The following is a 26,338-nucleotide window of genomic DNA, read 5'->3' on the forward strand; positions in this document are numbered from 1 at the left end:
CAGCCAGAAGGCTCAGTGATGGGGGAGTTGTTTAAGCTGGAATACTGTAATGCTGCTGGCTGTTTATGGCTGTGAGGTCACTACGTGGGCTGCTGAGAACATTTTAAAATGCTGAGTGAGTCATGAAACAGTCATGCGTCCCCTAACAATGAGGGTAGTCCTGAGAACTGCGTCGTTGGGCAGTGTCGTCGTGTGAACACCGTAGCGTGCACTTAAACATAGATGGTGTGGCCTGCTGCTCCCAGGCCAGGTGGTGCGGCCTGCTGCACTCCCAGGCCAGGTGGTGTGGCCCGCTGCTCCCAGGCTGCAAACCTGTACAGCACCTGACTGTGCTGAATACTGCAGGGAACTGTAACACAGTGGTGTTTGCACATCTAAGCATAGAAAAGGTACAGTAAAAATATATCATCAGCTGGGCACGGTGGATCACGCCTGTAATCCCAGCACTTTGGGAGGCCGAGGCGGGTGGATCACGAGGTCAAGAGATCGAGACCATCCTGGCTAAAATGGTGAAACCCCATCTCTACTAAAAATACAAAAATTAGCCGGGCGTGGTGGCGGGCGCCTGTAGTCCCAGCGACTCGGGAAGCCGAGGCAGGAGAATCGCTCGAACCCAGGAGGCAGAGGTTGCAGTGAGCCGAGATTGTGTCACTGCATTCCAGCCTGGGTGACAGAGCGAGACTCCGTCTCCAAAAAAAAAAAAAAAATTATATGTATATACACACGTGTATACATGTGTGCACACACACACACACATATATGTGTATATATATGTATATATAAAATCCTTTTATGGGCTCACTATCAATATGTGGTTCCTCATTGACCAGAATGTTCTATGATGTAGGACTCTAGTGCGATACACTGTCATGAACAGATTGATAAATTAGGTGAAGGATGATGCCTGTGAATGACAGACGTAGGAAGCCACAATCATTTTGTGTTTTCCACACTCTCTTTGAGAGCTGTGTTGCCTTGGTTTATGGATGAGGACATGGACCCAGGTCAGGGGCTGCCAGGTCGGTGCTGGGGTGTGGAGCTGGGCCTTGCATGGCCCCCACCTGTGAAGGTAATTAGTGTTTACCTTACAGTCCAAAGTTTGGTGAAAAATAACACTTCGTTCTGGAAAGATAAAAGCTAGATGTGATTATTTCGATCATTGAAGCATTTTTGTGTGAAATTACCTTTTTTTTTGGCGTCAGTGGCATGATCTCAGCTCACTGCAACCTCCACCTCCCGGGCTGAAGTCATCCTCCCCCCTCAGCCTCCTGAGTAGCTGGGATTACAGGTGGACGCCACCACACCTGGCTAATTTTTGTACTTTTAGTAGAGATGAGGTCTTGCCATGTTGTCCGGGCTGGTCTGGGACTCTTAGGCTCAAGTAACCCTCCTGCCTTGGCCTCCCAAAGCGCTCGGATTCTAGGTGTGAGCCACTACACCCAGCCTGAAATTAGTTTTCATTTTGATATTTGTTTTCTTAAAATTCTTTATAATTTGTCAGAAATTTATTTTGTCAGAAACAGTATATTTTTTCACTCTGGGGCTCTGATTCTAATCAGTCATTTACCAATCCAGCAATGAAAGTTTTCACTTCCGTCAATGGCTTTTTTCCTCTGAATGTGTGGTGGTCCTGAGGGGAGTGCATTTTGCTCGCTCCTGGGGGAGGCAGTGGTCTGGCCTGTCCCCACCAGTGCCCCCTAGGCCCCGCCTTGAGGACAAGCTCTCTTCTGTTTCTGAGCGCTCTCCCGTCCTGTCTAGGGCAACTGCTGCTCTTTCTAGGGGTGGTAGTGGGGCTCTTTAAGATGTCCCTCGCTTTGATTTTTGCAGGCCAGCAAATGCACTGGACGTTGTGGTTTTTCTGGCCTCCAGTAGTGGTGTGGTGGGAAGGTTCTTTTCCTGCCCTGCTGCTGAGGGGAGCCTCGAGCGTACCAGAGTTCCTCAGTGAAGCCTTTGCACGTCCTGCAGGGTGCAGCCCAGCATGGGTTTCACTGCCCTCCAGGAAAGGCCTGGCCCTGGTGGGCTCGCTGCAGCACAGGCACGGACCTGGGGCTGTGCTCTCAAGGCATTCCAGCCTGGAAAGGGTTGTTTTGGTGTTAAAGATCCTCTTCCGTGCCTGTCCTGTGGCCCCTCTGTGTGGCATGCCCAAGAGTGGCTTTGAACATGGCTGCCCTCCGTGTGCTGAGCCTGCGGGGGCACGGCTACCCTCCGTGTGCTGAGCCTGCGGGGGCACGGATGCGATTGGTTGCTTCCCAAGATACCATTTCTTGGTGTCGGAGCAGGACTCGGGATGGCAGAAAGGGGAACAGACTCGCTCTCCTCATCTGCAGAGTCGGCATGGTTATGTGGGGCCACAGGGTGACCCGCTGGCCTGGAGCTAGCGTGGTCTCAGCCATCTGCCTCAGTGCCGGCCGGCACTCACAGCTTCTCAGAAGCCTGTGTTACCAGCCAGAGCCAAGCCTGAACTGGTGTGGTGTGGGGGCCCTTCTCCCAGGGCCTCGGGTGGAGTTGCTTTTCTTGGCCTAGATTTGGCAGTGCCTGAAGGGAGCCTCAAACCAGCATCTCCTGCTTGGCAGCGGGTGAGCTTGCTCCCGAGTAGCTCGACAGCCTGTGATTTACTGGGCTTGGAGAACATGCCCCAGGGGGGGGAAGCTGGCTCGCACGTTGCAGAGAAGCCAGCTTGGGTGGGTAGCCATCGAAAGGTGGGGCGGGTTAGGATGATTGCTGAGAAACTCCTTTTGTTTGCAGCTTGTGCTGTGCTGGTTTCTAGAACAACAAAAACAGACCTGCAGTCATTCCTCATTTACCATGCAGGGCTGTTTTCCTCTAATCCCTGGTGTCATCACCTCTGTCTAGTGTATGCTTTTCAGCAGGTGGTTTTAATTTGGTTCCCATTATGCTTCCATGAAAGTGGGCTGTGCCCCCCATTTTATGGCCTAGCTTATGAGCACTCAAGACCATTGATGACTAGAGTGCGCTCTCTCTGGCCGCGTCCTCCTGCTGACAGGTACCCCATCCCACCGCCACGCTGAGCACTGGCCACTGCACACTGCACACTTTCTCTGGTGAAGATGGCCTTACTTTTCAGTGAAATAAATGGAAACAAAGCCCTGTCTTCATTGACTCGTTCCTTCCCTGTCGTCTCTTTTGCCCTCCTGCACCCATGCCTGGGAAAGTGGATAACTTTTGGGGCTTTTCTCTGTGTGTGCTGAATGCCCAGGAGGCTGCCTGTGTAATTCAGCTGGAAACTGTCCCCAGGGTAGAGAGAAGTGTGAGGAGAAAAAGACCCTTCGCCCTGTAAATGTGTGGGGTTCTGGTTTCTCCCTTACTGCAGATGGTGGCGGGCCCTGGCCTTGGTGCTGTCTCCTGTGTGTAGCTGGGGACGGTGGAAGCTGGGCTGGGCCTTTCCAGGTGTGGGGCATCCAGGCCAGTTACAAGAGATGATGCTTGCTTTCCCGAGAACTCATCACCACTTGTATCTTAGTCTGCTGTAGAGAATGTTGTACTACACTTCATAGGAATTGAGTAACTAAACAACGTTCATGTGTGAGGGCACTCTAGGAATTTCACAGTGTCTTGGATTCTTTTTATTTAGTGAGAGAAACCAGACGACGTGTTAGCCCGTTGCCAAGTAAGACTGGGGGACACGTCAGCCTGTTGCCGAGAGAGACCAGGGGACATGTTAGCCCGTTGCTGAGAGAGACCGGGGGACACGATAGCCTGTTGCTGAGAGAGACCGGGGAACACGGTAGCCTGTTGCTGAGAGAGGTCATTTCCCGGATCTTTGTCCTGCGTCCGCCCACAGCTGCACAGCTGCTCTTCTGGTTTAGGTTCTGGCCTTTCCCACTGGGGTTTTCCAGCAGCCTCTGTAGCGGTCTTCGTTGTTGAGCACTTCACTGTTCATCCCCAGGTTCTCCATCCAGCTGCTGTTGGAATCTGGTCATGTGGCCATGGCTGCAGGTGATACGGTGGTGCTCTTTGCCTGTAGGATGAGATTTCAGCCGCTCGCAGGTTCATTTGTTGTGGAACAACGTACTCCACAGCTGGTGGCATCAGTGACAGCCGCACTCTTGCGTGGATCGATTCTGTGGCCTCGCAGGGTGGGGTGCAGGGGGCCGTTTGTTACTGCCCTTTGATGCCTGGGCCTCTGCCGAGAAGACCACGTGGCAGGTGCCTTGAAGGGCTGGGTGCGGCAGGGGCCCTTGACTGAAGCTGGCTCTTCCTGCATGGCAGCCGGCTTCCCGGAGGGAGTGTCTCAAGGGGAGGTGTCTGGAGAGGCCCTGAAAGAGGCCGCCAGGCTTCTGACCTGGGATTGGGGGTCACTGGCATCACTCCTGCCTGCCTCTGTTGGTTGTGGCAGTTGGAAGCCTACCAAGGTGGTGGGTGAGGGACCCTTGATTGTCCGTCTGGCAAACTCTGTTCCCCACTGAGCTGGCCAGCCGGCTGCAGTGACAGCTTCTCTGTGAAGTGTCTTGTCTTCTTATCCCCCAGGCGCGGTCCGGCTTCTCGTTGCACACTGGTGGGCTTCAGGCCGTCAGCCCACCTCCCAGGGAATTTGAGTGTGTGCTTGGCCCTGCGACTGCCCCCGAACCCCGCGTCCCGTTGCGGGGAGCTCGCCTGTGCCCCACGGTTTCTGCTCAGCAAGTGTTGGCTCTGTAAACCGATGACTTAGGGTTAAAACACATATTAAATTAGATACATCTGGACTGGTGTGAAATAATTTAACTTTCGATTTTATATTTCACACAAACTAAAGATGGGGAAGAGTTCTTAAAGTTAAATGAGAACTTGTTTTGGGCAAACAAGGATCATCTCCATTCACTTGGTAGGGAACGTGTTACTATCCATTTCGCTAAAGAGAAAGGGGCTAAGTCTCTGATCACCTTGGTGAATGTGTTATTCTGAGTGGCTCAGGGAGGTGGGTGCTGCCACTGCCCCATTTTACAGACAGAGGAACAGGAGCGCAGAGACCCTGCTCTGCTCCACAGGCGTGACTGGTGGTCTGTCTGGCTGTCTCCTTCCTGTTTTGATCGTAGGTGTGGGATCTGCACCACAGGTGTGACTGGTGGTCTGTGTGCCTTTGCTGCTTCTCCACTCAGCGCTTAGGAGAGCCCCCCAGCGGGCTCCATGGAGAGAGTCTAAGTTCCCTCTCCTTTTAAGAAGATGTTTCTATTCTACACTTAAGTAAGAGATCAGGCAGTTTACAGGGTTCATAATGCAAATAAAAGACACCAGTATTTAGTGAAAGCCTCTTCACCTTGTCTGAGCATCTCCTGATGGGCGGCACCTGCTTCTTCATTTTTCCGTGTGGTGGGCGACAGCAGGACAGGGGTGGCGTGGTGTGCGGTGCAGATAGTCTGAGACAGATGCAGTTCTCACCTTGACTGTGAAATTCTGTTTTCTGAAGGAAAGGAAATTCATTCGCGTTTTCTTAGAAGGGCTCAGTTCTAGGATTCTTCGATTATGAGGCTTGGATATTTATGTGAATCATCGCATTTGTCCTCCAGACTTTAAAGCAGAAGGTAAAACCTCAGGTTGAGAATTCAGGAGGGCTAGAACCAGTGTTTGAGAGAAAATCTGATATTCCTGTTTGGTCTGATGGACTCCAGGTGATGACGTCCGTGTGTGCGCATCGTGGGGACCGGGCTGCCAGGTGTGTGTGTGAGACACGGGCTGAGCTGGTCACCCTTCTCATTTGTTGGTGAAGCATGAATGCAGATGGAGGCCTTTGTGTGAGGTGGTTTGGCCTGTAACTTTTATCCTTTGTAACTTTATTTATACGCAGATAATTTTTAAAAACCTACTGAGATATCTTCTTTTTCCAGGCTAGTAGTGCCCTGAACTTAAACCTGGGCACGTTTTGTGATGCCATTGATGAGGGAGGGGTGGAGAGGCTGCAGTCTCCATGAGGGGACTGGACTTATCATTGCATCCCTATTTTCAGATGAATTTTTGGGAGATGATTTCACTAGTCTCTTATAATTACTTTATCATGTACAGAAACTGTTTTCTTTATTATTAGGTGGTGAGTGTTTAGAATAAAAATTCTGAAAGATGTGATGAATTGTTTTCACAATTTGTGTGTATGTTTTAAACTTCTATTTGTATTTGTAACATTAAAAATCTTTTTTTTTTTTTTTAGGCACAAATATTTAAACATGGAAAACGTGAAGACTGTTTGCCCTATGGTAAGGTTTATTTTTAAGAGACGATATCTTTGTGATGTGAGTTTGCTCATATACAATCAAGTGTCTTTCCTTAACATTTTATTCATAGATATAGGAACTGTACATTGGTATGTTTGGACACTATCGTTCTTTTTTTTGTTGTGGGTTTTAGTAACTGAACTTTTTTTTTTTTTTTTTTTTTTTTTTTTTTTTGAGACTGAGTCTCCCTCTGTTGCCCAGGCTGGATTGCAGTGGCACAATCTTGGCTCACTGCAGCCTCCGCGTCCTGGGTTCAAGCAATTCTTCTGCCTCAGCCTCCCGAGTAGCTGGGACTACAGGTGCCTGCCACCATGCCCAGCTAATTTTTGTATTTTTTTTTTTTTGAGATGGATTTTCTCTCTGTCGCCCAGGCTGGAGTGCAGTGGCACTATCTCAGCTCACTGCAAACTCCGCCTCCTGGATTCACGCCATTCTCCTGCATCAACCTCCCGAGTAGCTGGGACTACAGGTGCCTGCCACAATGCCCAGCTAATTTTTTGTATTTTTAGTAGAGATGGGGTTTCACCGTGTTAGCCAGGATGGTCTCGATCTCCTGACCTTGAGATCCACCTGCCTCGGCTTCCCAAAGTGCTGGGATTACAGGTGTGAGCCACCGTGCCCGGCCTAATTTTTGTATTTTTAATAGAGATGGGGTTTCACCATGTTGGCCAGGCTAGTCTTGAACTGCTGACCTAGTGATCTGCCTGCCTCGGCCTCCCAAAGTGCTGGGATTACAGGCGTAATAACTGGACTTTTTGTCACTTTCCTAGTCCTTTGATAAAGAGGGATTGCTGCCAGGGGTCTCGTGAGGGAGGTCTGGGCAAAGCCCGTGTCATGATCTGAGGTTGGACCTGGCTTCTTGGGGCCCAGGAGCAGCCATGTTCCTCTGATAGCCACAGCCACCACCTCTTTTGCCTTCTTCCTAATTCTCTTAATTTATTCTTTTTGAGACTGCATCTTACTGTGTCGCCCAGGCTGGAATACATGACACAGCTCACTGCAGCTTCGACCTCCTGGGCTCAAGCCATCCTCCCACCTCAGCCCCCTGAGTGGCTGGGACTACAGGCGAGCTCTACCACGCCCGGCTAATTTTTTTAGCAGTGGGGTCTTGCTGTGCTGTCCAGGCTGGTCTTGAACTCCTGGGCTCAAGTGATCTGCCCTGCCTTGGCCTCCCAAAGTGCTGGGCTTAAAGGTATGAGCCACCACGCCTGGCTCAATTCTCTTAATTTTAGATTGAGCCTCAATTTCTGAAAATAAGGGCAGTGTTTTTCTCCACGCAGAGGTTTACCATCTGGAAAAAGAGAAACTTCTTAGAGCCTTTGTGTGTTTTAGAAGCTATCCGGACTGGGCGTTGTGGCTCACGCCTGTAATCCCAGCGCTTTGGGAGGCTGAGGCGGGTGGATCACGAGGTCAGGAGATCGAGACCAGCCTGGCCAACATAGTGAAACCCCATCTCTACTAAAAATACAAAAATTAGCTGGGCATGGTGGCACATGCCTGTAATCCCAGCTACTCGGGAGGCGGAGGCAGGAGAATCCCTTGAGCCAGGGAGTTGGAGGTTGCAGTGAGCTGAGATCGCGCCACAGCACTCTAGCCTGGCGACAGAGCAAGACTCTGTCTCAAAAAAAAAAAAAAAAAAAAAAGAAACTATCCGAATATCAAATTTGAATAACTTTCTTTTTTTGAAAGTTTTTCATTATGGAAAATTTGAAACATGTATAAAGAAGAGAGAATGGCGTGCACGCCCCGTGTCTCTCTCAGGAGTGTGCGAGTTTTCGTGTGCAGCCTGTTTCATCCCTGCACCGCACAGGAGGGACACACAGTGCCATCTCACCTGTGTGTACTTCCATACATGTCTCTGGAAGGTGGGGCTCTTTATGTCCTCACCACACCCGAGAACGCGAGCAGCCGTTGCCAGGCCCTGTCGGCGGGAGGAGCGTCCTTGGTGACGTGAACACAGACCTCCCTCTTGGGCTGTCGTGCTTGTCACCCACGCTCATTGTGCCCACTGTCAGAGCCTTCTGAGAAGTTACTCAGATGCTCTTTCAGCTGACCTGGTTTTATAGGCAAGCATTATGAGTTAAACGGCACCTCTGCCCGAGGTCACGGCACCCACATAAAACTGGTGAACGTTCACTTTCTGTCATTTCCCAGCCTCAAGGCAGAGCTTCCTGCAGGGCACTGCAGCTCCAGCCCCCATCCCCCTGCTCTGTCCCCGCCCCACTGCCCCTTCCTCCATCTCCTTGTCTTCCATCACCTCACCTAACTCTCAGCTCTGTCTTCAGCTTCTCTTCTTTTCTCCTGTCCCCTGTCAGTTGGTTGCAGTCTTGTCCATTTCACTTCCAGCCCATCTCTGAAGCCGCCATGCACTTCCACCCCAGCCCTTGTCTGTCCCGGGAATGCTGTCCTCCTGGCCTCAGCTTGCCCTCGTCGCAGCACCCGGGCGTCTCCTGCTCGCAGGCTCTCCCTGTCGTGCTGTGCCCAGTGCTACCTTGAGCCTCCCCTTGGCTCAGCCTCCTGTCCTGCTATTGTCATCACTGCATGACACCGAGTGATTCCCCCTGAAAAACAGAGCAAGCCACAGGAACCCCGTGGCCTGTGTGTTCTCCCCAGCCGCAGTGTGCTCCATGGCTTCTGGGGTTGCTGCAGTGTGCCCTGTGGCCTGTGTGTTCTCCCCGGCCACAGCATGCCCGTGGCCTGCGTGGTCTCTGTGGCCGCAGGATGCCCGTGGCCTGTGGGGTCTCCGTGGCTGCAGTGTGCCTGTGGTCGGTTGGGCCTTTGTGTGTGCTGCCCCCCTTCAGATTGGCTCCCTGCCCTCTGAGTACTTGCTCTCCTGACCTCCACTGATGTTGCTTCACAGCAAGGAAGTCGAGTAGGTTCAACTCCAGCAGCTCTTGGTTCATGATTTGGGATGATGGGGGTCTTGGTGATGTCTCCTGCCTCAAGGCCCCTGTGGAGCCGGCTGTTGGTTTCGGGGACACAGGTGGTGCAGTCAGAAGATGCCTGCAGCCCTTCCTGCGCTGAGTCCAGTTCTTGTTTGCAGCTGCCACTGTCCTCAGGTGCCTCGATGGCTGCAGACTCCCTGAGAGCAACCAGACCCTGCTGCGGAAGCTGGGGGTGAAGCTTGTGCAGCGACTGGGGCTGACATTCCTGAAGCCGAAGGTGGCAGCATGGAGGTAGGCACCATGAGGGCGGTGCCTGGGGAGGGCCACGGGGTGGGGAGGGGTTGCTGTGGGGGGCAGGCGCCATTGATGAGGGCGGGGCAGGTGCTGTTGGGGCAGGTGCTGTGGGGAGGCAGTCGCCCTGTTGCGGGGTGGGGGAGGCAGGCGCCATGGGGTGGGGAGGCAGGCGCCTTGGTTCTGGACACAGTTGGGGGCACTCTCTGGAGGGCAGGCCGAGCCGTAGGTGAGCGTCTGGTGTGGCTGGTGCTGTGGCTTTTGTGTCCAGTGGTGATGGCAGAGAAGATGTGTTAGTAACAAGTGTTTTCTGCTTTCATTCATTTCTTTAATCCTAGAAGTGTTTCTGATTTTGAGAGGAATGGTTTTCTTTTGGTTATTTTCTGACTGCATCTCCCAGTTGGAAGAACTGCAGCTGGCGTTGGCAGGAAGGTGGCGTGTGCGTCGTGTGGCTCGGAGTCAGCGTGGCAGGATGGCGGCGTGTGTGTCGTGTGGCTCGGAGTCAGCGTGGCAGGATGGCGGCATGTGTGTCGTCGTGTGGCTCAGGGTCAGCGTGGCAGGAGGCTGGCGTGTGCGTCGTGTGGCTCGGTCAGCGTGGCAGGAGGGTGGCGTGTGCGTCGTGTGGCTCAGAGTCAGCGTGGCAGGAGGGCGGCGTGTGCGTTGTGTGGGTCGGAGTCAGCGTGGCAGGAGGGCGGCGTGTGCGTTGTGTGGCTCGGAGTCAGCGTGGCAGGAGGGTGACGTGTGCGTGATCGTGTGGCTCAGGGTCAGCGTGGCAGGAGGGCGGCGTGTGCATCGTCGTGTGGCTCGGAGTCAGCGTGGCAGGAGGGCGGCGTGTGCGTCGTGTGGTTCGGAGTCAGCGTGGCAGGAGGGCGTCGTGTGCGTCGTGTGGTTCGGAGTCAGCGTGGCAGGAGGGCGGCGTGTGTGTCGTCGTGTGGCTCGGAGTCAGCGTGGCAGCAGGGTGGCATGTGTGTCGTGTGGCTCGGGGTCAGCTCAGCCTCCCTGGCGTGGCAGCGTGTGTGCGTCGTGTTGCTCAGAGGCGGTGCGGCCTCCCTGGTGTGGACGCGCTGTGGGGGAAAGCTGCATCGGATCAGTGATGAGTCTGAATGACAGGCTCCCTTTCAAAGACTGTTGGAGAAAGTGAAACCGCCTTTCTTGCTGGCAGAAATGATGTCTTAGCAGTCTGTAGCGGCCGGTGTGAACGGGTTGGTTCTCAAGGAGACAGACTTTTCTAGTGTTCTTAGGGTGCTGTGTGTTAGCGACCTTCAGTTTGTTTCAAGTGCTATAATACGTGTGGTTTGGGAAGGAATTACTTGGTTAAGGTCAGCTCACACTCCGTCCTGGATGATGGCAAATTCCAGAGACGCGTGTTGTGTTGCAGTGTTGGGTGTGCAGCTCACTCTGTAGGAAGTTGCTCATTAGGCACAGTGTTCGTGGCTAGTTTCTCAAAGCTGCTGTGGGGAATGTTCAGTGCTGTACCAGGCAGGGTTCTCCAGAGAAGCAGAGCCCATAGGATGTGTGTGTGTCGGCGAGGCTGTGAGCTGGAGACCAGGAGAGCTCATGGTGGTTCTTGGCCAAAGGCCTCAGGGTGGAGACCCAGGAAGAGCTGATTGGTTTTAGTCTGAAGACAGAACAAGTCCAGTTGAGAGATTGCCAGGCAGGAGGGCTTCCCCCCTCCTCAGGGAGGGCCGGCGTTTTGTTCTGCTGGGGCCTTCCGCTGGCTGAACGAGGCCCCCTGCATTTGGCAGGGTCCTCTGCCTGACTTTGTCTACAGATTCACATGCTGGTCCAGAGCCCCTGACACAAGCACTGGAAGCAGGTGTGATGAAATAGCGGGGCGCCCCACGGCGCAGTCAGGTTGCCATGTAAAGTTAAGCATCACAAGCACTGAAATGTTGGTACAGAAAATAATCCAGTATCCTAGTTCTCTCGATAATGATGTGCGTGTTGCCACATACACTTCACGTAATTCTAACGTGGTTGGGTTTTAGTCCCCGTCTTGTGTTTTTCTCTTCCGTCTTTCTCTACGTTTCCTGTATTTCTAACTTTTTTCCATTTTTATCTCCTCGGTTGGATTTTCGTTGTCTCTGTTAGTACCGTTCTCTTCTTGGTTGTCTTCTGTTGATGAGGACGGACTTACGCTCTGACGGGCTGTTAGATTTCTGGTTCATCCCACTCCTCCTGCCAGCCTTGGCTCGAGGCTTTGTTAGGGTGGGTCTTTCTCAGCTCTTTTCCTCCAGGGATTGGTCTTTCCTCCACAGCATGGTCCTTGCTTTAAGTATGTAGCCTTTCAGGGACTTAGGTGAAAGTCACGGCTTTCTCTCCCGTCCTGCTGGGCCCGGGTCTCCGGGGCCCTCTGAGGGTTGCACAGTCTCCAAGTTCTCTGCGGCACTCGGCCTCCCAGCCATTCTCTGACAGGTGCGTCTGAGTCTCGCCTTGTGCTTCCTTATCTTGGAGTGCCCAGGGATCCAAGGGAATTTTTGGGCAGAGTTTTGGGCCTCTGTCTCAGCAGCTCTCTTCTCCCCAACATCCTCTCCCCCACATATGAGCCCTCCACTCATTGAGATTGCTGCTTCCTGGGCTGTTTCCTTGGTACGGTGTAGAAAGTACCCCTGCGGGGAGGAGGTGGAGGTGGCCCACCTGCAGCTTCCCCTCGCTGGGGATTGTTGCCCTGCCTTGGTTGCCATCACCTGCTGGCCAACAGTGGCTTTAAGTCTTCCGTCCGAGTCTCACCATTGTTGAGGTCGGGAGGGCATGTGTAGAAGCAGCCTGAGGTCATTGTCTTTGTGGTGCCGTCTGGTCTTTGTGAGGTGGCTGAGCTGCGCGCTTGCGTGAGGAGAATGGCGGCTGGGGTGCACCGGTCTGTGGGGCGTTAGGGGAGACTGGGGGCTGGGGTGTGCCAGCCATGGGCCATTAGGGGAGACTGGGGGCTGAGGTGCACCTGCCCGTGGGACGTTAGGGGAGACTGGGGGCTGGGGTGTGCCTGCCTGTGGGGCGTTAGGGGAGAGTGGGGGCCGGGGTGCACCTGCCTGTGGGGCGTTAGCGGGGAGTGGGGGCCGGGGTGCACCTGCCTGTAGAGTTTAGGGGAGAGTGGGGGCTGGGGTGCACCTGCCTGTAGAGTTTAGGGGAGAGTGGGGGCTGGGGTGTGCCTGCCTGTGGGGTGTTGGGGAAGAGTGGGGGCTGGGGTGTGCCTGCTCGTGGGGCATTAGGCATCTTGCTGGGTGTCTGATGGTCTCCGCCACGGTCCTAAGATGGCTGATGATACTCTCTTCATACCAGTTACCCTACATTACAGTGTACCCCGAAATTTAGCAGCTTAAACAGTGCACTTTTTCCTCACAGTTTTGGTGGGTCTGGAATCTTGACGTGGCTCAGCTGGGTCCCTGGTCAGGGTCTCTCCTGAGGCTTCTTAAACAGTGCACTTTTTCCTCACAGTTTTGGTGGGTCTGGAATCTTGACGTGGCTCAGCTGGGTCCCTGGTTAGGGTCTCTCCTGAGGCTTCTTGAAGGCGCCGGCCTGGCCACTGCCGTCTCAAGGCCTGCATTGCTGGGGGGTGTGCTTCCATGCTCCTCATGGGTTGCTGTCGGGACCCGGTGCCTTGTGGGCTGTTGGTGGGGACCTGTTTGAAGTCCTTACCATGTGGGCCCCTCCGCAGGGCAGTGCACAGCATGGTAGCTGGCTTCATTGGAGGCTGAGAGGCGGGTGGAAACCACGGCTGTTTGGAAGGTGGCAGCTCTCACCAGACTCTGCGTATTCTGTTCCTTGGGAGGGAATCATTGGGCCCAGGCCACACCCCGTGTGAGAGGAACGCTAGGCGGTGGGGGTCGTGGGCTGTCTTGGAAACTGCCCCCCTCCTTGTTTCCTAGACTTGGAAACTGAGTCCCAGAGGGCTAGAGCTAGGATGAGTCATTCGAAGCAGGTTGATGGCATCAGCACCAGTGTGTGAGTTCTGGTTCTGCCGCCAAAGCCTAAGCTGTTTGTCCTCTGGGAGGCTGTCTCAGGCTACAGCCGCAGCAGCTGCCCTGAACTCTCACTGGACACCTTTTCTGCATGAGACCGGGGAAGCAGGGCCCACAGCCAGGCGGCCCGCCCTGCACTCACCCTTGGCAGGAGCAGCTGTGTACGCGGGGGCCTTGCTCAGCGCAGGGCTGGGCTGCACGCCGAGCGCAGACTCTGACGGCTCCTCACACAGCTCTCTGCGTAGGACTGCGTTCCCATTTTATAGAGGGGGAAGTGGGGGCATGGAGCGGCTCAGGAGCTGTTCAGAATCACACAGCAAGTAGGCGTAGAGCAGGCCTGACCAGGAGCCAGGTCCCAGGGTCTGTGCCATGGGCCCCTTCATGGCGTGTCCAGGGGATGACAATGCAGGTTCCCCATGTGGGTGTGAAGAGGGCTACACGTTGCTGCCTTTTGAGGGGCATTCGGGAGGCAGGATCTGTAGGAACTGGTGACCGGTGAGACGCAGCACCTGGTGATGAAGGGGCGGTGTGTGGCCTGGGCGGTGGCAGTGGTGGCCGTTCAGGAAGGGGCTGCCAGGAGGCAGAGGGTCCCGAAGGCCGGGTGCTTCCCCAGGGAAGGCGCTGGTCCTGTCGTCTGTGTACCCATCATCTGCCTTCTCTCCTGACTTTCCCTAATCAAAGCTGGACACTAGCTGAGGATGTTCTGGACTCGGGGCGTGTTTTGTGGCCCACACCAGGATCTTCCTGGCAGTTTGTGCTGATGGCACTGCCTCCAGGTTCTCCCTTCTTATCCGGTCTCTGCAAAGTGCATGGAATTTTCACAGGCACGCTTTAAGATTCAAAGTGACACTGAATGACTGGTTCCAGTCATCAGGATGCTGTGAGCTACAAAGCTGATCTGAGGATGCTTTGCTTTGCACAGGTACCAGCGTGGCTGCCGATCTTTGGCTGCAAATCTGCAGCTCCTCACTCAGGGTCAGAGTGAGCAGAAGCCACTCATCCTGACCGAAGATGACGACGAAGATGACGACGTCCCAGAGGGGGTGGAGCGTGTGATAGGTGCGTGGGGTCTAAGCGGCGGCCTCTGCTCTTGGGCACCGTCGGGCCAATTCCCCTCTACTCCAGGACCACACTTCCTTCTTCCTTGCTGGTGCCGGCACTGTCTGGCCACCCGTCCCCTTCGCTGAGTGCACGGTCACTGCCCGTCCTCTGGCTCCTGAACCCAGGCCTGTCCCTGACCATGGACAGTCTCTTCCTGTGTGCCGTAGAAGCCCTTTTTCCCACCGCCTCGCCTCCTTCCTGACCTGGGCTGCCTGTTCTGGGCAGCTGGGTGTGTCCTCAGGAAACAGTTCTCCCAGGAAATTGAGTTGGGGTCCCTGGGGCTCAGGTCTCTGGCTCCTTGGCCCCTAAACCCTGCTCAGTTCCTTACCTCAGGAGCCATTTCAAACTCCCTTAAACCACATTACACCTTGCAGGGGTCTCCATCCACTGCCCTGTTCTCCTCCTGTGGGGTCTCCTGCTGCACAGAGACAGAGCCATCAGCGGAGCCCCTCATGGCGGCCATCCTGGGCTCCTGTCCACACACTGTCCTGCCCTCCTGCCGCGGTTGGATGAAGTCTTCCCTGGACCCAGGCAGGGCCTCTTCATGTCCCCTCCCTGTGAGGCCCCCATCCTCCCAGTATCTCCCAGCTTCCTGATGGGCAGGCGGGGCCACGCTGCCTGTGCTGTGCTGCACTCTGCTCACATCCCCGCCGCTCCCTCCAGGGCAGGTTTCTCCCCAGTCATCTGCACCCCACCTCGACCGTGACCATCAGGGCGCCTGTGGCACCGTTGCCAGCCCCGAGCCAGCATCCACTCCGGCCCTTCCCTTGACCTTTGCTTCTCAGAGCCCTCCCTGGTTGCGTGGTAGGCGCCCGCATCTGTGCTGGGCGGCTCTGAGTCCCGGGCGGGGCCCTGGGTCTGCCCCTTCCCCGTGTCCGCAGCCTGCCCCAGGTTCATTCCCGTCTCCCACCCGCTGCAGGCAGTCCCCCCTGCCCGCATTCCAGCTGCTGTGCTGGCTCCAGACTGTCTCTCCACCCTCCCCTGTGGTCACTCAGCGAGCTTGTCCATCAGGGTCTTCCCAGGGCTGCTTGGTGCCCACAGGCGAAGGCTTCACCCTTGCTGGGGCTTGCAGGGCCCTCACCGTGTGACCTGACCCCTCCCTGCATCCTCTAGGCTTCTGTGTGGTTCTTAAAAGTTCAGCCTGCCGCCAAGGCCTGGTCCCTGGGAGAGACGTCTTCGTGCAGCCGCTGGCTGGGGGTTTTCTCTGGAAGCTTCCCAGCCCACTTTGGTCACCCGTGAGCTGCGGGCTCTTCCCCTGGCCTGGGTGGGGCCCTTGATGTTGGCCTTCCCCTGGGGGCAGGCAGCTGCTCCCTGTAGCCGGCTTTAATGGGGTAGATCTCTTTCTTAGGAACAGAGAACTTGGGAACATGGCTGTATGTGATGATTTGAGAACGGAGGGAAGGAAATGTTCTTTTCCTGTCATTAAAATTAATATTGTTAATGTAATTCCCTTCGGCGTGTGCACTGAGTAGCGTACAGGATGGGTCACCTTACAGCTGGGAAACTAGGAACTTTGTGTGGACTCTGTCACGCATCACCTTCCTCTTCCTACAGAGCAGCTGCTGGTCGGGCTGAAGGACAAGGACACGGTCGTGCGGTGGTCTGCAGCCAAGGGGTAGGTGTCTGTGGCCGCAGAAGCACCCCGGGGGGTGGGCCGGCCTCTCCTGTGCGATTCAGCAGCTACAAATACCCAACAGCTTTGGAGTGGCAGCGCGGCCCCCTCCTCGGCCCCCTCCAACTTATGTGTGTTGCTTTACGTGTTGGCGTGAAGATGGTTCCCGAGGCGGAGCTTCGGTCTCCTCCGTCCTCCTGCCTCTGGCTGGCCCTGCCGGGTCACGAGCAGGCCGGGTTTACCTGTTTATCTTCAAAATGTTCCCTTGCTTTTCCACATCCTCATCACTGTGCCCCCCACCTATCGTTCCCCACAGATGGGGGTCACGGCTCCTACAATGACGGTGCTCAGGGAAGAGCCCTCTTTTGTGGGGTGAGCAGGTGCCAGTCCCTCATTCACCCCTCACTAGCACCTGTCATACCTGTGGGAGTCGACATGCACCCTGCACCCCAGGCCTCAGTGGAGGTCGTGGGGCAGATCCAGTGGGGCCTGGCCTTGAACACAACAGGTGGAGCCCTGGCCTGGAGGAGCCGGTGGCCCTGTGGGCTCGGGCTGTGCAGGGACAGCGATACACGTGAAGAAGATGCTGAAGTGTCGGGGAGGCCCCTGCTGTGGAGGAGAGGAGGCAGGTGCAGGGGCCAGCAGGTGCTGAGGTGTCAGGGAGGTACCTTCTGTGGAGGGGATGAGGCAGGTGCAGGGGCCAGCAGATGCTGGGGTTGGGGGAGGCCCCTGCTGTGGAGAGGATGAGGCAGGTGCGGGGGCAGTAGGTGTTGAGGTGGGGGGAGGCCCCTGCTGTGGAGGGGACGAGGCAGGTGGAGGGGCTGACAGGTGCTGGGGGGCGGGGAGGCCCCTGCTGTGGAGGGGATGAGGCAGGTGGAGGGGTGGCAGGTCCTGGGGGGCGGGTTGGCCCCTGCTGTGGAGGGGATGAGGCAGGTCCAAGGGCTGGCAGGTGCTGGGGGGCAGAGAGAACCCTGCTGTGGAGGGGACAAGGCAGGTGGAGGGGCTGGCAGGTGCTGGGGGGCAGAGAGGCCCCTGCTGTGGAGGGGATGAGGCAGGTGCAGGGGCCGGCAGGTGCTGAGGTGTCAGGGAGGTCCCTGCTGTGGAGGGGACGAGGCAGGTGGAGGGGCTGGCAGGTGCTGAGGTGTCAGGGAGGTCCCTGCTGTGGAAGGGATGAAGCAGGTGGAGGGGCTGGCAGGTGCTGAGGTATCAGGGTGGTCCCTGCTATGGAGGGGACAAGGCAGGTGGAGGGGATAAGGCAGGTGCAGGGGCTGGCAGGTGCTGGGGGATGAGGCAGGTAGAGGGGCCAGCAGGTGCTGGGGGACGGGGAGGCTGGTTTTTGCCATTGCTCTCCCATGCGTCTGTGCTGGGTCCGTCCATACCATGATCTCTGGGAGGAGCTCCACAGGGCTGTGCAGGGGCTCACATAGGCCTTTGTGTTGCTGTACGCAGGGGATGGCTTTTCAGCCCAGAGCCTCGTCTGGTTGGGTGTGATGGGCCCACGCAGTGAGAGGCTGGGCAGGCCTTCCCAGTGTCCTTCCTGGAGGCCCCTGGCCAGGACCTTCCCCACGGGGCCATCTCCAGGGACTTGGACCCTGTGAGCCAGCCTCAGGCGGCCTCCATGTGGGGCCGTGAGCCCATCACCTGGCCTGATGGGTGCCTGCACAGTCAGCGTTTGGGGTGGCACAGAGGAAGCCCGGCTCCAGTAGGGAGGGTCAGGGTGAAGCCCTCAGCGTTCGCCTGCTGCCTCGGTACCCTCAGCCGTCACTGGTGGCCTGCAGCGTCCGCGTTACAGTGGTACATGGTGACCTACCCTGTGCCGCGTGTGCTCACTCGTCCCCTTTGAATCTGGCTGCAGGCTCCTTTACCCTGCAGCGTGTTTTAGCGCGGGGGCTCCAAGCAGGGTGCGGGCTTGCCTGGAGTTGGCCTCTTCTCTCCTGGTCTCTGGAGGAAAGGATGGGTGTTCAGGCCATTCACACGTGTCACGCATGCCCTTGGCGACAGGCTGGTGGTGCCCCTGACGGATTGCTGCGTTTCTCTTTCAGCATCGGTAGGATGGCTGGCAGGCTTCCCAGAGCCCTGGCGGATGATGTGGTCGGGTCTGTGCTGGACTGCTTCAGGTATGTGAGAAGAGCAGGGGAGGCGTGTGGGCCTGACCCTGAGTTGAGAAGCCCTGGCTTTCCTTATATCCTTTCACGCTTGCTTTTCATTGAGCTGTTTGTCAGAACTCCAGAAGCTCTTTTTTCCCCCTTTTGAAGTTAAACTTGAGAACTCTTGTTATTTCTGGTATGTTGCTTTTATCAATTCCATTCTATTTAAAAACCTTAAGGAAAAAGAGAGTCAGTTTAGACATATACCCATGTAGATGTTTATTCTGAAAGGAAAAGCTCTACTGAGTGAGTTGGGGCTGCTCCGAGAGCTTTCTGTGGGAGGTTCGGGTCTACCCCTCGCCTACCCATTAGCCACGTGTATCACTCAGACCTTGAAGTGAGGCTGGTGTGACCAAGGCCTGAGTTTGAATTGGATTTCATTTTAACGAAATGTGAGGCTTTGGGAGGCCAAAGTGGGAGGACGGCTTGAGCCTGTGAATTCAAGACCAGCCTGGGCAACGAAGCGAAACCCCATCTCTACAGAGAGTTAAAAAATTAGCCAGACGTGGTCCCAGCTACTCGGGAGGCTGAGGTGGGAGGATCACTTGAGGCCAGGAGTTTGAGGCTTCATGAGCCATGATGGTGCCACTGCTGCACTCCAGACTGGGCAACAGAGTGAGACCCGGTCTCAGAACAAAACTGAGTGTAGACAGCCACGTGTGCTGTGCCGCATTTCTCTTGTCAGCCTTCAGGGAGTTCTGGGTCTTGGGACCGTGTGGCTTGTGGGTGGTAAGTTGTGGGCTGGGATGTGCGGGTGGCAGGGCCTGGGATTTCAGCCTGGGGCCTGCAGTCCTGCCCTGGTGTGCTCACACGTGTGAGGCATCGATCTGTGACCTCCCCAGGGAATTCTCCCTTTTGCTTGTGTAAATGTCTCTCCCAGTTTCAGAAGCGGAGGGTCGAGAGCAGGCGTCCAGCTTGCTCAGGACCCCGGGCGTGCTGTTGCTCTTCATTAGCCTGGACACCGTGGCGAAAGCTGTGCTGTCAGCACTTTGGAGGCTCCAGTTCGCGTTGCCTGTCAGTCACCAGGGACAGCTCCGGAGCCGTTCACAAAGCCTTGTTTTCCTTCTGGAGGAGATTTCTTGTGCACTTAGCCTCCAGCCTGCTCAGTGACAATTTCAGGAGCACAGGAAACAATGTGTCAGATACGGGTCATGTTTTTCAGAGCAGTGTGCATGCATGTGTGAGAAATATTCTTCCAGTGGAAACATTGCTAGCAGAAAACATGCTCTTTACCACAACTGCTTGATGGGAGGCAGGGGTTGGAGGGTGCTACGTGCTTGGCTTCTCTGTAGGCGACCTCCAGCCTTGTTTCAGGCGTGTCCCTGGAGCTCCTTTCTGGTGGTCATGGTGGGCATATGTCCTCCTGTCGCCTGGTGCCACCTGCGGCCTTCACAACAGTGTGGTGGGCTCCAGGCCGGGCCTGCCTGTGCCTGTCTGGACTTTGCCTCTCTCCTCCAGCCGCTGGGCGGCCTGCTCATCAGGCCTAGTGCGTCTCCTAAACTCACTGTGTGTCTTTCCCTCCACAACGTGCAGCCTCTCTGGACTGTGTGTTCCTTACTCTAGCTCACCTTCTTGGTCTAGTTTCATTTTTCCTGGCTGGTTTAATCTTCAGGTGCTTTTTAACCTTTATTTTTGTTATTTTAATGTGCTCATTCCATTTTTGTAGCTAGGTTCTGGGACGGGGTGGCCTTTTTACTCTTGATTTCGCAGGGCCTTCATCCCAAAGTAGCTGCAGGGCCATCATCCCGAGTCCTCGCAGGATGCAGCTCTGGTCAGTGCCTGCCTTCCCTTTTCCTGGGTGCTCAGTGTGTGATTGTCAACCGTGGCATAAAAAGGCGGCTCTGGACAGCGCCTGCTTTCCCTTTCGCTGGGTGCTCAGCATGTGATTGTCAACCATGGCATAAAAAGGTGCAGCCTCAGAGCAGGATGTCTGAAGACACCAGGAAGCCAGGAGTTGCTGGGGTGTGGGGCGGCCCACAGCCCTGCATGGTGGCTGCTCCAATCTTGTCCTTCCCTGGGACGTGTGGTAAGCTGCCAGCCTCTTCTGAAACGGGTCCGAGAAAGGGCATTAATTATATTAACTGTAAGAACACCCAGCACCCAGGAGGGTTAACTTACTCCCCGCTCCTTTCCTGGGCTGGGTTATGCAGTGAGTGGAACTGCACCCATCCCCAGGGGGTTCAGGATCTGTGTGGCTGATGTGGCTGTCCCCCAAGCGTGCACGACTCCCTCAGGACCTGGGGCCCCCTCCTGACTCCCATCACCAGCCCTGCAGCATTACCCTGGACCTAGGAAGTAGCGCCAGACCCCAGGCTGTGGCAGAAGCAGGGTGCCTTGGAGAGGAGTGTGTCTGTGTCTGTGCCAACCCCATTGGTTTCTCCCGTGAGCAAACCAACTGAACCTGTGCCCGGGCCCAGCTGTGGGTCCTGCTGACTTGCCCGAGGGCATCTTCTGAGACACTCGGTGTGGAGCGTCTGGAAGCCACGGCACTACGCTGTGCCTCCCCCTCGCCCGCCGCCCCGTGTCAGCAGGAGCCTCACCACGTGGGTTCCTTTCTGTTGAGCTTTACGGTTTCATCGAGGTTTTGGACTGGGTGATGTGTTCATTCAAAAGTCAAACCAAAGGGAAGAAGACAGCCTCCCCAGACCCCAGAGCCCCCCCGCAGGTGACCTGGGGCACCCGTTTCGCATCCCTCCGGGGACTGATGCAGGTGTGAGCAGATGGATACAGAGGTTTTCTTGTTTTGTTTTTGAGATGGAGTCTCGCTCTGTCGCCAGGCTGGAGTGCAGTGGCGCGGTCTTGGCTCACTGCGATCTCCGCCTCCTGGGTTCAAGCCATTCCCCTGCCGCAGCCCCCAAGTAGCTGGGACTACAGGCGTGCACCACCACGCTTGGCTAATTTTTTGTATTTAGTAGAGACGGGGTTTCACCATGTTGGCCAGTCGGGTCTCTGTCTCCTGACCTTGTGATCAGCCCGCCTCGGCCTCCCGGAGTGCTGGGATGACAGGCTGAGCCACCGCGCCCGGCTGTTTTGTTTTTAGAGATGGGGTCTTGCTCTGTTGCTCAGGCACCATGATAGCTCACTGCGGCCTCTACTTCCTAAGTTCAAGTGATCCTCCTGCCTCAGCCTCCGAGTAGCTAGGACTATAGGTGTGCAGCACCACACCTGGCTAATTATTTTATTTCATTTTTGTAGAGATGGGGACTTGCTATGTTGCCCAGGCTAGTCTTGAACTCCTGGCCTCAAGCAGTCCTCTTGCCTCGGTTTCCCAAAGTGCTGGGACTATAGACCTGAGCCCTGTACCTGGCTAAAATTGTCTCTTTCATTTTACACAGATAATGGCTTACTTGTCACACTTTAACACCAAACGCATCTTTGAGGTCATTTTACATTAGTGCTGTTCCCCTTGCTCTTGATGATCTGAGACCCGTGTACCTGCGACACTCTTTACCCGCCTCCTCTCTCTCTCTCTCTCTTCCTCTCCCGCTCATCCGCCCACTCATAGCTTCCACTATTTTCTGTTGTCTTCCCTCCTCTGAGACCCCCCCTGTGCTTCCAGGAGTGCCTTAAGCTTGGATCTGAGGGCGGGAACTCGCCCCGGCTGCTTGGCTTCTCCCTGTGCCCCTGGTGTCCATGGACAGGGTCCCCTGTCCGGTTCCACTGTGCCGTGGTGGTGCTGGGCCTCTGAGGCGAGCCGGATGGACGGACGGCATCCCCTGGACCCTGCCACCCTTGCCACCGTGCCACAGTGAACACGTGTCTGATTTAGAAGTAGACATTGGTCTGACAGGCATTTGTTTTGGTATTTTTAAGTCACGGTAACCTTGGTGTTTTGTCAAGTTCATTCAGATGTTAACTAAATCTTTGTGAAAGGTGTGAAGCATCTTTCTCCAATGAAAACCCTAAAGGACGCAAGTGCTGATGTGAAAATACGCAAGGGGCTCACGGAGCCTCTGGGCAGACAGTACACGTCTGGAACTTGTTTAATTGTGATTGAGTCTGTCGGTGACAGTGAGCTCTGAGGAGCCCGCTGGTGGACGCTGGTGTCTGTCTCAGCCCCTCCTCTCTGGGCTGGGCACGCAGGAGGTGAGGCAGCCACTGGGCGGACAGGCACTCTCCGATTTTCCTAAGTATTCTTGTCCATACTGATTGCCAGCTAGTCATACAATTTAGTGGGTTTTCCTAAACATTTATTTGCTGTCAAGTCAATTTAATTAGAATCAGGAGAGCTTCTGAACCACCCCGGGGAAATTAGTACGTATAAAATATTATGACTTGATCGATGGCCATTGCAATTGTTCATTAAAAGTTCATATTTCAAATACTGTGAAAAATCTTGAAATGCCAATTCATTATTGTAGCATTTAATTCTGAGTTTGACTAAACAGTGGGGTGTCATTTAAAGAAGGTCTTCCTGCTCCCTTTTCCACTGACGTCTTCCTGTGCTGGGATTCCTGTTTTAAGTTCCTACTTTTCTGAAGTGTCTTATTTCTTTCTATGGGAGCGTGGGTGTTGCCCGTACTTGGAGCGACACCACTGTGGTGGGAAAACCCCACCTGGGACGGCACAGACGGGACGGTCTCTTTGTTTGGGGACTGACCAAGACTTGTCCTCACTCTCGGGAGATCTGAAGAGGCCCTGGGGTAGGCACGGCTGTTGTCTTCATACTCAGTTGCAGTGTGTTATTTCTTCAGCCAACTGATTATTTGTTTTTTTATTTTGAGACGGAGTCTTGCTCTGTCACCCAGGCTAGAGTGCAGTGGCGCGATCTCAGCTCACTGCAACCTCCGCCTCCCTGGTTCAAGCGATTCTCCTGCCTCAGCCTCTTGAGTAGCTGGGATTATAGGCGTGAGCCGCTGTGCCCAGCCTTGATACTTTAAAAACTTAGGAATGGGTTTTAGTGAGCCTTACGTGAGCCTTACAGGCAGAGGATATGGACCTGCCAGGCTGTGCTCCTTGCCATGCTGTGGGCTTTGAACCAAAAGCTGACACGTGGGCTGTGGTCTCAGGATCTTTGTTGCTCTCAGTTTCCAGGAGACTGACAAGGCGTGGCATGGGGGATGTCTGGCGCTGGCAGAGCTGGGCAGGAGAGGCCTGTTGCTGCCGTCTCGACTCGTGGATGGTGAGTAGCTGAGGCACGGTCAGGGGGGATGTCTGGCGCTGGCGGAGCTGGGCAGGAGAGGCCTGTTGCTGCCATCTCGACTCGTGGATGGTGAGTAGCTGAAGCACGGTCAGCTGCGTCACCAGGCTGTCCGTGGCAGGCTGCAGCCCTTCGTCTGAACCCATCTCCGCGGTGTGGCCCTGCCGCGGGCACGCCCAGAAGAGCTTGAGAACAAGGTCTGTCTACCTTTTTCTCGCATTGGCCTTTGTAATTTCCTAATTGCCTCTTTTGTCTGCTGTGGAATTTTAATGCCACAGATTACCCTGTGTAGCTGGTTTTGGAGGGCCACGAATCCTTGTAATGTCTGATTTTCTTACTCCCCAAAACCGGTTTTCATTCTTGAGGGACATTGTCGCCCCTTAAGGACACATGCAGTGGCACCTGCTTCAGTTGTAGAACCAGGTACCCCTGGCAGCATCCTGGGTCACCTGGAGTGACGTGGTGCTCCCTGGAGATGAGGCTCACGCCAGCGTGAAACCAGGGTGGGAACTGGGGTGGAGGGCCAGGGGAGCTCTGCAGTGGCCAGCAGTGGGGTGGGGACAGAGGGCACAGCATGGCAGATGCAGGGGCACTGCCCCAGACCAGCTCTTGTGCCGTGGCCACACGCAGCCCTGTCTGTGTTTGGTGGGGAGAGTCCCTGGGTGTGGCTGGCAGTGCCCTCTGAGGGCAGGAAGGAAAGGATGTCTGTACAGGATAGAGTGGGGGCCCATCCTGAGAGGGCCTCACCACAGAGACTTGATTCTGTCCAAAATAAAGACACCTGAGATGTGGTGGCCTCACGTCTTCCCAGTGTGGAGCTGTGGTGGCGTCTGAAGTGACCGCTTTGCACTTGGCATTTTGATGTATGGGGAGAGCTTTTAGAGCCTGCAGTTCTTTTTTTTAATGTCTCTGCTTATTTTTTTCCAGACTTCTTTAATGTTTAGACCTCTTTATTGCGATCTAATTTACATGCCATAAAATGCACTCATTTAAGTGTACGGTTAAGTGGTTTTTATATATTTACAGAGTTGCGCAACTATTGCCATAATTTAATTTCCGAACATTTTCATTGCCTCCAAAGGAACCCTGTGTTTAAGAACTCACTCTTTACTCTCCCCAGCACCCCCGCCCTGGCAGCCATGTCTCCAGTGTCTCTGTGAATTTGTCTTTTATAGACATTTCCTAACAGTGGAACCTACGACATGTGATCTTTGGCGTCCGAATTCTTCGGCTGAGTTTCTCTGTGTCGTAGCCTGTGGAGTGCCTCCTTCCTTCCTGTGGCAGAGCCTTGTCCTGCTGTGTAAATGCACCACACGCCACGTTTTGTCCATCCTTTTCATCAGCTGATGTACATCTGGGTTGTTTCCACCTTTCACTGTTAGGTTAATGCTGCCATGAACATCGTGTACACGTTTTTGAGTGGATGTTGGGTGTAGGCCTAGTAGAAATGCTGGGTCATACGGTAACTCCACGTTTAACTTTCTAAGAACCTGCCAAACTTTTTCCAAAATGATTGCACCATTTCAAGTTCCTGCCTGTAGTGTGTGAGGGTTCTGCTTCTCTGATCCTCACCAACACTTGCTTTTATCTTTTTTTTTTTGGACGCGGTTTCACTTTGTTGCCCAGGCTGGAGTGTGGTGATGCAATCTCTGCTCACTGTAATCTCTGCCTCCCAGGACCAGGCGATCCTCTCACCTCAGCCTCCTGAGTAGCTGGGACCACCGGTGCCCACCACCATGCCACATTAATTTTTTTTTTTAGTTTTGTTAGAGACAGGGCTTCACCACATTGCCCAGGCTGGTCTTGAAGTCCTCAGCTGAAGCAGTCCACCCGCCTTGGCCTCCCAGAGTGTGGGGAATACAGGCGTGAGCCACCACACTTGCCCCCTGCTTCTTTAAAAAAAAAAAAAAAAAAAAAAGCCGTCCTAGTGAGTGTGAAGCGCCACCTTGTTTTGCTTTTCATCTGCTTTTCCCCAGTGACTGATGACACTGAGCATTTTCTGTGTTTGCCCGTTTGTATGTCTTCTTTGGAGAAATGTCTTTTCAAGTTCTTTACTCATTTAAAAAAATATTTTTTTAATTGTTGTTGTAAGTAAGAGTTTTTTTATGTATTCTGGATATAAGTCTCTTATTGGATATATGATTTGCAAATGTTTTATTGCGTTCCATGGTTGCCTTTTCACTTTCTATTGATTGATTGACAGAGTCTTGCTCCGTTGCCCAGGCTAGAGTGCAGTGGCCCCATCACAGCTCGTTGCCACCTTGATCTCCTGGGCTCAAGCCATATTCCCACCTTAGCTTCCCAAGTAGTTGGGACTACAGGGGTGCACCACCATGCCTGGCAACTTTTTTTTCTTTTTTTGAGACAGGATCTCATTCCCATCGCCCAGGCCGGAGTGCAGTGGCGTGATCTCAGCTCACTGCAGCCTCCACCTCTCAGGCTCAGGCGGTCTGCCTACCTCAGTCCCCTAAGTAGCTGGGGCTACAGGTATGTGCCACCATGCCCAGCTAATTTTTGTATTTTTTATAGAGATGGGGTTTTCCCATGTTGTCCGGGCTGGTCTCGAACTCCTGAGCTCAAGCGATCCCCCCGCTTCAGCCTCCCAAAGTGCTAGGATTATAGGCGTGAGCTACTGCACCTGGCCTTCATGCCTGGCTAATTAAAAAAGTTTTTTGTAGAGATGGGGGTCTCACTATGTGGCCCAGGCTCGTCTTGAACTTCTGGCCTCCAGTGATCCTCCTGCCTCAGCCTCCCAAAGTGCTGGGATTGTAGGCTGTACCTGGTGTGTTTTCAATTTCTTTGATGGTGATATTTGACCCAGGTTTTAAATTTTAATTAAGTCCAGCTCATCAGTCTTTTTCTTTCTTGTGTTTCTGGTGTCATAGCTAAGAAATCATTGCTGACCCCAGAACCATGAAGTTGTGGTTTCATTTAACGTTTTGTTCCATCCGAAGTAAGTGACTCGTAATGTTTATTTGTGACACTAGATGTGTGTGAGGGTGT

At 54.6% G+C, this 26,338-nt stretch overlaps 1 protein-coding gene across 18 annotated transcripts in view, besides 1 other annotated feature; it reads left to right on the forward strand.

Annotated features, from left to right (window-relative positions):
- Nucleotides 1–26,338, forward strand: part of TBCD (tubulin folding cofactor D) — a 193,850-nt gene that overhangs the window by 39,553 nt on the left and 127,959 nt on the right. For 15 of the 18 annotated variants that reach the window (NM_005993.5, NM_001411102.1, NM_001437989.1 and 12 more), the window contains 6 exons: nucleotides 6,140–6,185; nucleotides 9,247–9,379; nucleotides 14,258–14,394; nucleotides 15,991–16,051; nucleotides 18,091–18,165; nucleotides 23,223–23,317. In NM_005993.5, coding sequence (NP_005984.3) covers nucleotides 6,140–6,185; nucleotides 9,247–9,379; nucleotides 14,258–14,394; nucleotides 15,991–16,051; nucleotides 18,091–18,165; nucleotides 23,223–23,317 — 547 coding nt within the window. The other 3 variants (XM_011523593.3, XM_047436624.1, XM_017024990.3) reach the window with 3 other exon arrangements.
- Nucleotides 2,194–2,914: an enhancer, noted in NCBI's record as "H3K27ac-H3K4me1 hESC enhancer chr17:80751687-80752407 (GRCh37/hg19 assembly coordinates)". NCBI's record gives its function as "activates a minimal SCP1, AML or CMV promoter by ChIP-STARR-seq in naive H9 embryonic stem cells {active_cell/tissue: H9 hESC(naive)}" and the evidence as "EXISTENCE:reporter gene assay evidence [ECO:0000049][PMID:30033119]".

Source organism: Homo sapiens, chromosome 17, assembly GCF_000001405.40.
Source record: "Homo sapiens chromosome 17, GRCh38.p14 Primary Assembly".
In the NCBI taxonomy this organism is placed as follows: Eukaryota; Metazoa; Chordata; class Mammalia; order Primates; family Hominidae; genus Homo; species Homo sapiens.